Genomic DNA, 12,245 nt, shown 5'->3' with positions numbered 1-12,245 from the left:
ATTAATTAAATACCAAGGTATGTTATTAAGAGTAAGGGGGAGAATGAAAGCTGTTTTGCTCAACTAAATGATAGACTCTCATTACCTTCCAAAGAACTAAATACCTTTTTTCCCCTTTCTTATGAAATATGGATAGAGATATGATTCTCAAACCACTTATGTCTTCAAGATTTAGGCAAGCTTTATAAAGCTTTGCGTATGAAAGTCTGGGAAATTATATCCCAGTTTCTAATCTAGTCTGTGGTTTTAATTTTTTTCTATAAAAGGATATTAGAAAATTAGTTATCTATTTACCTCTCATGGGTTTAACAGATAAAGATATTGCATTTTTGAAATTAAAGGAAGCTCATAATTAAACATTCATCCTAATAAAAGACACCAATCTTGAAGCAAAGGCTACTCTTTATAGAGTTTTTCAGTTTTTAGTTTTCTGTGATTTCTTGAAAAGTCTGCCAAGGAAACAAGTAGCATACTTTTTTATGTCTGCTTCAATTTGAGTCCATATACCATAGTTCTAGGGAAAATTGCACCCAGGATATTTTATTACCTGGTTGGTGAATTAAATAGATATAAATTCCCAGCAGATGTTATGCACAGGTATAGTTGCTGATTACCATTTCAAAAAGTTATAAACTAGCTATGGATGGTATTCTGGGATTGTGAAGAGGAGAGGAGAGGGTGTGTTTGTTTATTTGCTTGTTCTAACTTGAGTTTTAAAGGGTAGAGAGACTATGAAAAAAGCAAATGTTGAGTGTGTGACACAAAGACAATACTATTGCACCCTGAGATATAGAAGTTTCTCCAAGGAAATTATGACACAAGGTGCTTGATTAAATTTTGCAAATAACTGATAAAATGCAGCTATAGGCAGTATTAAATAGTTGCCCTTTCAAAAGTTTATTTGTATATTATTAAGAAATCAAAAATGCATAGTTCCAGTAAGAAACTGTACAGTATTTGCAATTGTTAAGTATCATACCAGGTAAATTTGGCTCACAAATACAAGTAAACCCCGTATTTCTCATATATGAGCATTTTTGTGCAGGATACATAAGATTATAGGAAACATAAGATTTTGAGTACATGATCCAATTGTCATTCCTTTCCATGAAATATAAGGGCTTCATGTATGTTTATTTCAATTCCCTATTCTTTGTTATAGGCTAATTTGAACTCAGTGTGCTGAGGCATATACAGGAAGCTGGGAATATTAATAAAGAAAAAGGAGGGACAAATTGAGTAACGCCCTCAGCATCCTGGTGTTCGCTATATAGACATTCAGTACTCTTGTTTTTGCTCACCAAATCTTCTCATGACAGCAATCTATCCAGGCCTGCTCGGAGCTCCAATTTTTATCAACTGCTTATCTTAATCAATCCAGCATGGCTGATGTCTGCTGGGTATTTTAAACAAAATCATGCTAACATATGAATATAGATTTAAGAAAGTTTAAAATACTGAAGAGTACTCTAATTTTTAAGAAAAGATTCCTTCGTAGCATAAATTGCTTTTCTAATTTGTTGAAATTTCTAAATTGTGCAAATTTAAAGAAAATGTTAAAGAAACATAGAGGTATAAAGGAAAGATATTTGACATTGAGAATCTAACAACCACAAAGATACTGCCAAGAAATCTACTCTGTCAGTTTCCCTAAGCTAGGCAAGATTTTGACAACCTTTTTGCTGTCTGCACATTTAAACCAACTTCATTATCCCCAACAGTTTTGGGGTCCATATATGTGTGATATTGTGATTTATAATAAGATTTATATATTTGATCTTCATCCAGTTTCCTGTCACACAACTTCTAAAATGCTTGGAATCTCAGGAGTGGTAAGAGTGTCTTTTGTATGTTATGGGATGACTGGTTGCTGAGAGGCCCTAGATAACCTCAGAATGATCGCTGGCCACCAGAAGACCAAGGCTTGATTAAAGAGTTGGAATATATAGTCCCATCCCCCAAATCCTGGGGAAGGGTAAAGGACTGAAGGTTAAGGTGATTGACAACAATGGTCAATGACTTAATCAACCAGGCCTACCTAATTAATCTTCCCTAAAAATCCAAAAGGACTGGGTTTAGAGAGCTTCCAGATAGCTGAATACATGGAGGTTCCAAGAGGGTGGTGTGCCTAGAGAGGGCATGGAAGCTCAGCAACCCTTCCCAAACACCTTGCCCTAGGCATCTCTTCCATCTGCCTATTCATTTATATCCTTTGTAATATCCTTTACAATAAACTGCAAACATAAGTAAAGTGTTTCCCTGAGTCCTGTGAGCAACTCTAGCAAACTAACTGAACCCAAGGAGGAGGTCATGAAAACCCCAGTTTATAGCCGGTCAATCAGAAACCAAGCCACAGCCTGAGGCTTGCAACTGTCATCTGAAGTGGGAGACAGGCTTGTGAGATTGAGCCCTCAACCTGTGGAATCTGATACTATCTCCAGGTAGATCGTGTCAGATTCGAATTGAATTGAATTGTGGAACACTCATCTGATGTCCACTTGGAGAATTCCTTGGTTAGTGAAGGGAGAAAACCCTCACACCTCTGGGGTCAGAAGTGTTGTGTTGGCTGCATGAGAGTAGGAAAAGGCACCCTGGCTTCTTCCTCTATCCAAAAGCGTGCATACTGAAAAGCAGGTGAAGGGAACAATCCTAGCAGTAGTCTCTTTTGTATGTAAATAATGTCATTCCAAAGGGTGGCAACATTGGCACTTTCAACATGATTTATTTTTAATAAATTTTAAAATGCTGAGAAACTCAATACTCAGGAAAGGGCATAAAATGGTTAATTTCCTGTAATCTACTGTTTTAACTGATAGAAAGCAAAATTTCAATAGTGTTGTGTTTTTATTAATGTAATTAAGCTTCCATGTATTTTATCATGAGAGAATTCCAGGTTCCTGACGAATCCTACAAATATACATATGACTACATCTGAAGTGAAAATTAAGAATCATAGTTGCAAAATTTATTTTTCTTTTTTTTCTATTATTTTATTGTTAAAATGGAGATGTGTAGAATAGGTCAAAAACAATTCCTGCTATTGCTTTTGCTATTTAGTTGGTGCACTGGTGAAAGAGGAAGAAGAGAACAGATTCTAGTTTGTTTACACATTTACCAAATACTGGACATTTGTTTTTTTTTTCCAGTTGGGATAACTTAGGAACAAAGCTACTATAAACATTTAGGTAGAGTTTTGGGGGCATTGCATGTGTGTGTGTGTTTGTGTGTGTGTATGTTTTCTTCTCTCTCATGTAACTGTGTAGGACCAGAACTCTTTGGTTATATGGCAAGTATATATTTAAGTTTATATATGTTGCTAAACAATTTTCCAAAGTGACTGTACCATTTCACATTACCATCAGCAATATGTGAGGGTTATAGCTGGTCTCCATCCAACCCGGCACCTGGTATTGTCTGCTACAGTATTTTGTTTTAACTTTAACTATTCTACCAGGTATGTTTTGGTATCTTATGGTAGCTGCAATTTGCATTTCTCTAATAAAAAATGGTGTTGAGCATCCTTTCATGTGATTTCTTGCAATCACTATCTGTAGAGTAATGAACTATCTTTTCAAATATTTTGCTCATTTTTGAATTAGGTTATTTTCTAATTATTGAGCCTTAAAAATTATGTATATATTCTATTAAAGACTGCTTCTCAGTTATATGTCTTATAAATATTTTCTCCAAGTCTATGACATTTGCTTTTTCATTTGCTTAACATTGTCCTTCAAAGAAAGAAAGTTTTCAATTTGAAGAAGTCCTATTTATCATTTTTTCCTTTTATGATTTGGGCTTTTTATTTTATGTCTATGAAATATTTCCCTAACACAAAGTCACAAATATTTCTCCTATGTTTTCTAGTTTAGTGTCTTATGCAGTTTTAAAGTTCTGGTTTTATATTTAGTTCTATTTTTCATTTCAAGTTCATTTTTTTATATATAGTACAAAGTATAGGTTGAGAGTGTCTGTTCTTATCTATTATATTTTCAACATTTCTTCAATCCATTTTCTGTTCTTCTCTCACTCTTTTCTTTATGGGATCCATTAAAGATATGTTAGATTATTTGATATTGTCCCACAGCTCTTGAATTTACCCTGTTTTCATTTCCCACTCACTTTTCTGTACATGTTAGTTTAGATTATTTTAAAGACTAATGCTTTCCTGATTTTTTCCTCACTAATATTTTCTTCAGCTATATCAAGTTACTGGCTGAGCTGTTCAAAGGCATACTTCATCTTTCATCTGTAGTAGTTTGTGTGTGCATACATGTTTGTGTTTGTGTTTATAATTCTAGCATTTCTCTTTTACTCTGTATTATAGTTTCTAACTCTTTGTTGAAATTTCACACTCCATCTTTTTCATTTTAAATCCTTTGACATTAATCACAGTTATTTTAAAATCTCTGATACTGCCAACATTTTGATCATCTCTGAGTCTGGTTCTGTTGACTGGTTTGTCTGTTGACAAGTGATTGTTCTCTGCCTTGGCTTCTGTGAATCTTATAACTTTCATTAAACATTGTGTGTAACAGAGACATTATGTGTAATAATTGGAACATTAGTGTAAGGATTTGAGTCAAACTAGTCAACAGTTGAGCTGTATTTGGGTTGTGAGGCTGCTATGATTATTGGTTTTGCACCATAGGCTTCAAATTCTTCTAGTGGTGGACTGCCATTGCCTTGAGCTTAGAATCAATGTTGGGTTGTAAAAGGCTTTCTTTGCATTTATCTTCTACCTACGCTTTCATCATCCCTCCACACATTGTCATTAAATGGTTATTTCTCCACCCTCTTGTGTTTCCCCTAGTGGTGGACCACTGCGGTTTGTTATTCTATGCTCTTGTATGCTCTTGTTTGCAAGTGGAGAGTTTTCTGGATATGATAACCTCAGACATGTGGCTTTCTTCTGCTATCCATGGTAGAAAAACTCTGACTTGTATCTCTGGTTAGCCTTAGGCAGAAATTTCCCCTAAATCAGCAGCAGCAGGCCTCTAATAATATAGATGTGGATATAGCCATAAGATTCTGGGAAAAGAAGGGTTTACTATCTCCCACTTACTCCAACCATGGAGTAGAATGTGTTTTACTTCTATGCCCAGCCAGATCAGCTGCTATGTATATTTGGCCTTACTCTGTTGCCACTTCCAGTCCTAGCTGCCTTCACAAAATAGTCCCTGGCCCTGGAAATTTTTGTAGGTTGTCTGATTTTTCTCTCCTTGTAGGATGATAGCAATAGTTTTAATTGTCAGTATTTATTTAAGTCTACTCTCTCACGTATTTTGTAATGTAATCTTCATATCTGGTATTTTTTTTCCTTTTTATTCCAATTCCTGAAGTCAATCAACTCTGAATTTCATCCTCTTTTTTGGAAATTTATTTTCTTAGTTTTCAAACTTCTAATTTAAGGTATATTTTTTCTGTATCCCCAAATGCTTTTTGGAGAATATTCAATTTAAGAAGTTGTATTATACTTCTCTTCTGCTTTGTGATTTTTTTGGGAGGGGAGAATATTCAACAACTGAAATTACTCAGATTTTCTATTTTCTTTTTACAGCAGTTTCATGTGAATGTGATCTGCTTTTTTCTAGTCCTTGTCAATGGGGTTACTAGTTCAAGAGTGCCCTCTTCTGTTAGTTTAATAAAATACAAATGCTTTAATGGGTAATGATAGAGAGGAGAGAGTATTGCCATTTTTTTCCAGTTTCTTTTCTGCAGGATCCTTAATTTCTTCACTCTTATTTCCTTCTTTGCCTTAACTGTGACATCTCCAAAAGCCACCACCTTTCCTATATATTTGATTTTTCCAAAGAGCAATGCTTCTCCAAGGATGTTATTGTTGGTCTGACTCTCTTTCAAGGCCCTTCCCTGTAGACAGAGCAATAAACTACCAAGTCCCAGCTCTGCGTTCAGAACTATGGAACTTATTCTTGGACTTTTTCTTACAGAATTAATTTCTGTGCTTGATCTAAGTGTCTCCACTCATCTATTCTTTTTCATGAAATTTTTTAAGACTTCTCTGCCTTTCTGCCCATACTCTCAGTGTCAGACACACTCTAGAATTTGGTTTATTATTCGACTTATAAGTAATTCCAAAGTGTTGATGTTTGTGTATCCTATAATGCTAAAAGTGTGGGGCCACCATAGCTTAATATATACTCCCAGTTTGTTATGTGTTCTTAGGCAGAAACTGTTTGGAGAAAAATAAAATCAGGTATTTATCATTAAATGATAGTATATACATAAAATTAAATATAGTATTAAAACACAGTGAATTTCTAATAAACATAACATGAATGAACCTCAAAAACATGTTGAGTTGAAAGTAGCTAGATACAAAGGACTATATATACTATATGTTTTTATTCATATGTTTTTAGAACATTATTGAAATTCTACAACAGGCAAAATCAATTTATTGTGAGAGAAATAAGATTTTTTTTTTTTTTTTCTTTTGAGACGGAGTCTCGCTCTGTCGCCCAGGCTGGAGTGCAGTGGCGCGATCTCGGCTCACTGCAAGCTCCGCCTCCCGGGTTCACGCCATTCTCCTGCCTCAGCCTCCCGAGTAGCTGGGACTACAGGTGCCCGCCACCACACCTGGCTAATTTTTTGTATTTTTAGTAGAGACAGGTTTCACCGTGTTAGCCAGGATTGTCTCAATCTCCCGACCTTGTGATCTGCCCGCCTCAGCCTCCCAAAGTGCTGGGATTACAGGCGTGAACCACCGCGCCCAGCCTAGAAATAAGATCAGTAGTTGCCTGAGATAGGCAGTAGATGGAATTCATTGCAAAGGAGAATGAGAAATTTATTGTAACTTGTGATGATGAAAATATTCTCTATCTTTACTGGGGTGATAGTTATGTATATGTATATATTTCTCAAAACTTTTCAAATGATACATTTAAAATGTATGTATTTTGTTGTATGTAAATTTTACCCCAGTTAATTTGATTTTTAATGAAACTCAATATATTGGCTAAATAGTAGGTTAGATAGAGATGAAGAGAGAATTAATAAGCTGAAAGATCAGAAGAGTAAAATATAAGAAGAAAGTAAAGAGACTTAGAAAACAAGCTGGGCATGGTGGCTCATGCCTGTAATCCTAGCACTTTGGGAGGCCAAGGGGGAAGAATTGCTTGAGTCCGGGAATTCAAGACCAGCCCTGGCAACATAGCAAGACCCCATCTTTACAAAAACAAAAATGAAAACAATTAGCTGGGCATGGTGGCAAGCACTTGCAATCCCAGCTACTCTGGAGGCTGTAGTAGGAGGACTGCTTTAGCCTGGGAGGTTGGGGCTGAAGTGAGTTATGATCTCACCACTGCACTCCAGGCTGGGTGACAGAGTCAGAAACCCTGTCTCAAAAAAAAAAAAAAAAAAGGCGGGGGAGAGACCTAGAAAATAGAAAAATAATATCCAATATACATCTAGCAAAAATTCCAGAGAACAAGAATAGGAAGAACAAAAGAAAAGCAACAAAGCAAAATGACTGAATTTTCCAGAACCAAAAGAAGAAATAAACTTTTATATGGCAAAAAGAAACACAAAGTGAGTAGGTTAATTTTTCTTCTTCATAATATATTGCAGTGGAACTGTAGAATTTCAAAAACAAAGAAAAAATCTATAAAGAAGGCAGAAAAACAGGATGTATTGAAGAAAAAGTTAAATAATGAGCAATATTCTTATCAATAAAAATAGTTGCCAGAAAACCACTGAAGCGCTGTTAACATAAAAGTTTATACCTAAATTATCACTCAAAACAAAGGCAAAAATAAATAAAAATTCACATGAAGACAAACTGAGAAAGTTTCCTATTCACTGTGAGTTGTTGAAAATTTTGCAAAAGATGTTAATTCAGTAAGAAGTAAGGAAAGCAAGTAACAATGTTGGGAAAAAATTAGAAAAAAAATAAGATGAAGACATTTTGTCACAGCCTTAGAGATATGATTAAAAAATAAAGTATGAGTCCAGGCGCAGTAGCTCATGCCTATAATCCTAGCACTTTGGGAGGCCGAGGCAGTTAGATCACCTGAGGTCAGGAGTTCGAGACCAGCCTGGCCAACATGGTGAAACCCAGTCTCTACTAAAAATACAAAATTAACTAGGCATGGTGGCACATGCCTGTAGTCCCAAATACTTGGAAGGCTGAGACCGGAGAATTGCCTGAACCCAGGAGGCAGAGGCTGCAATGAGCCGAGATCGCATCACTGCACTCCTGTCTGGGCAAGACAGAGAGAGACTCTGTCTCAAGGGGAAAGAAAAAGTAATTATCTGAAAAGGACCAGGAATTATATGATTATTTTTTAAAACTGAAAAGGAAGAAAGACTAGGAAGGACTCTGGGAAAAAATATGACATACAATAACATTAACTAAAGAATTTGTAAAGGCAATGGTGTCCTTGTAGACATAGCACAGTTTCTAAAAGCAGAATGCATATGTTCCATTCCTAATTTGTCACGTTCCAATGTTTTTACTTTGGGTAAGTTACTAAAATATCTCAATTTCCTCATCCGTTAAATGAAAATAGTGACAGTACCCATCTCAGAGGACTGTTGCAAGGAATAAATATAAACAGCTTTTCATGGAAGTTGTCATCATTCCTGGTTACTGATCATACTTAGGCATTTCGATTCTGAAAGCTAGTTGGAACTGAGTGGATTTCCTTTGACAGGTGTGTTTCCTCCCAATAATGAAGTTTCTAGTAATCACTTTGTGATCTTTTGCTAGATAGGACTTTGGATCCTTCACTTGACCGGCATGAGGCTCAGTTTGCTCATCCATACAACGGGAATAATGCTGTCCATCTTTCCATTGTTGTGATGCATAAATGAGTCAGTCAAAATGCATAACTAATAAAAAATATGAAGTCCCTATAATTACCTACATGAGTCAACATCATCCAGACATTTGCTCATATGATTCTCCTCATAACAAGCTCCTCTCCTCCCTCACTCGCCTCCTTGCTGTTGCAGGAATGTGCCCACACACTCCATAATCAGAACCTTTGCACTTGCTCATGTCCAAATATTGTCATGGTTGTGCTTCCATTCTGTTAGGTCTTACTCAAAAGTGATCTTTGCAATAAAGAATCTCTTGACTACTCTCTATTCTAAACATTTCATATCCATGTTCCAGCTTGATCTGACTCCAACATGCCATATATTGTACTTATACATCTTACATTTTTTCTTTCTTCCCTACTAGAATATATGCTTCATGAAAGCAAAGACTTTTTAACTTTGTTTTCTTTCACTGATGTTTCTCCATCACCTATAACAGTGCCGGGCATACCCTTGGCATTCAATAAATATTAACTGAATGAATCATTTAAAGGTTCTGTCAGACCCATCTTAGGTGTCTCCTCATATTTCCTTCACAGTTCCCAATTTCCAGACTCTTAGCAGCTTCCTCCACTCAGACCCTGCAATTCAAATCATGCCTGGGCCTTCCGGATAGCAGTTTTGGGTGTGCCAGGCTCTATCCATTAGCTGTCACTGTAGATCCATGCCTATAAGTCATTCCCGGACTTGGCTGAATCACCACATCCACACAAGATGTGAGATCTGGCATCTTGAGTGACCACCCAACAGGCCAGATTACGCAACTCAAAAAGACCAAGAAGTTAACTCCTCTCTGTGAGAAGAACTTTGAACAACAGGAAATGAGGGAAGAAGGGGAGATGCAGGCAGCTGTATTCCCACCCTTTCCTCACTCCTGCAGCTACTTAGTGATATGAATTCTCCTTGCAACCAGTCTGGAGATAAACCTTGGGCTAGGCCAACACATTTGCCAAGCAGCCTACTGTGTCTCTCTGTAGCATGTTCTGAAGCAAGAGCCAAGTGTGGTCACAACCCATTCACATTGCTTCCCATTGCTCCTTGCTTCATTTCTCTCCCTTCCGCTTTTTTCTCATTCTCATCATTTTGCCTGAGTTTTCATCTTCCAAATCAGGTGCCAGTAGTGTAATCATAGCCTCAGACTCTGTTTTCTGAAGAACCTGGGTTAAGAGAAGGTTTTTGAAGTTTCCATTCCTTTGGATTCAAGGGGCAAACTACATGAATTACTTAGTAGATGAGAATACAGTGATTGTAAGTCATGTCATTGGAGTCAAACTGAACCAAGTTGAATCTCAGTGGTACCATTTCCTAGCCACATGACTCTGGGCAGTTCACTTAATCTTTCAGATATTTAACATCTCATGTGTAAAAAGGAATAACGCACCCACCTCTTGCTGTTGTGATGACAAAATGACATAACACAGTACAATGTCTGACATGAAATATTTGCCCATAAAAGTGGTGAAACAGAAAAAGCCATACTACATTGATTACTCCTCACAACACAGTAAGGAGAGGAGAGGATTCAAAGTATGTTGAGCAAAAAAAGCTGTAAGCAATTTCTTACAATGTTGCAGAATATAGTGTCAATACACTTCCATACCAGCTCATAGGTGCAATATGATTTGTTCCTAGGAAACCAAGTGAGAGAATAAGAAATTATGGCAAATTCTGTACATCTGGTTAGCACTATGAAACACTTGTGATAACACTTTTTCATTTGAGGCTCCTAGCAACTCTGTGAGGTAGGCCTCCTCATTTTGCATTTATTTATATTGCAGATTCTTGTTACATTTAAGAGATGAAAAAAAAAACAATGCCAAGATTTACATTGTACATATTAGTTTGCACAGTAGTGTTAGCTGCTGTAACATGCTATCATTTCAGAACTCATAACTGTGGTCAATGGTCAGTGACCCCTTTCAACACAGATATTCATGACTTTTTGTGTCTTGTGGTTCTGCCCTCCTCTAAGGCCTCAAAATCCTCTGCCTTCAGGAAAACACGAAGAAAATGGGAGCATACATACCTGCGTCTTAACTGGTTTGGCCCAGAAAAGACATCCATCAGTTCTGTTCACATTCCATAGTCTTGTGGTTGCAGTTCTATGCAAGAGGTAGAGGGACATGGGGGCATGGGCTCTGGCAGGGAACATACTTGCCAGTCACCACTCTATGATATGAAAAGTGGCATGAAAGACTGATGGACAGTAAGCCATCTCTGGATGAGAAAGTCAGATGACAGAGTTAGTTCACCAACCAAGGAATTGTAACACTAGAGTTTGTGTTCTCTCTACTATGCCATATTGCTTCTCAGCATATATAAGCAGCTCCGTGACAACTCATCACAAAAACAGAAAATCAGACTGCATCCCTTCCTATTGTAGCCAGTTTTAATTATAAAATATGGTATTTGGTTTTTAATAAAAAGCAATATCACATTCCTATTACCTAGTTGCACACATTCTAATAAAACTGTAAGGTCTATAAATATATAGCTCATTTGAGGATATGAATGATGTCCAGGACATGGAATTTTTCATTCTAACAGCTTACAATATATTTTTAATGAACATGTCTAACAAAATAAAGAGAGGCAAAACTTGGAAAATTAAGACTAACCAATTATTGGTTTAGTTTTGGCCTGCTGTCTTGATTTCTCCTTAGCCAAAATATTTGGAGGTGAATTAGTAAACATGCAAACAGAAGAGAAAACAATAAAACACAAAGACAGTGCTCTCTATGATATGCTAAAGTTTATTTTAAAATGTCATTGTGGTTTACCCAATAGAAATTGAATCCATGAGGGTAGAAAACAAAATAATCCATTATTTTCATTTGAAATAGAAACATTTAGTTTGCAGCCAAATTTTTTACTTAAAAAGATGAAACAAATTCATTTTGTCTTAGAATTCAACATGTAGGCATATCTCAGAGTTATTACAGGTTTGTAGTCTAAACCACTGCAATAAGGGAATATTGCAATTAAATAAGTCACATGGGACCTTTGGTTTCCCAGTGAATATAAAAGTTATGTTTACACTATAGTCTATTAAGTGTGTAATAGCTATGTTTAACAAAATAGTATGTAGACCTTAATTTTAAAATATTGCTAAGAAATGCCAACAATCATCTGAGCATTCAGCAAGTCATAATCATTTTGCTGGTGGAGGGTCTTGCCTTGACATTCGTGGCTGACTGATCACGGTGGCGCTTGCTAAAGATTGGAGTTACTGTGGCAATTTCTTAAAATAAGACAACAATGAAATTTGCCACACTGACTCTTCCTTTCACAAAAAAATGTCTCTGTAGCATGAGATGCTCTTTGATAGCATTTCACCCACAGAATGGATGCTGTGTTAGCAGGCACGAAAACAACATGAATCCCCTTGTACATCTCCATCTGAA

At 36.4% G+C, this 12,245-nt stretch overlaps 1 long non-coding RNA gene across 2 annotated transcripts in view, besides 1 other annotated feature; it reads right to left on the bottom strand.

Moving 5' to 3' along the window:
- LOC100506207 (uncharacterized) overlaps nucleotides 1-12,245 on the bottom strand; it is a 349,823-nt gene that overhangs the window by 240,181 nt on the left and 97,397 nt on the right. The gene's annotated exons all lie outside the window — the stretch shown is intronic.
- Nucleotides 11,630-11,799: an enhancer, noted in NCBI's record as "experimental_96299 CRE fragment used in MPRA reporter constructs". NCBI's record gives its function as "activates a minimal promoter by MPRAs in K562 erythroleukemia cells, with activity observed for the introgressed 6:8533784 variant allele {active_cell/tissue: K562}" and the evidence as "EXISTENCE:reporter gene assay evidence [ECO:0000049][PMID:34662402]".

The sequence above is a fragment of the Homo sapiens genome, chromosome 6 (genome assembly GCF_000001405.40).
Source record: "Homo sapiens chromosome 6, GRCh38.p14 Primary Assembly".
Lineage (NCBI taxonomy): Eukaryota > Metazoa > Chordata > Mammalia > Primates > Hominidae > Homo > Homo sapiens.
This window is presented reverse-complemented; position numbering and strand designations above follow the sequence as displayed.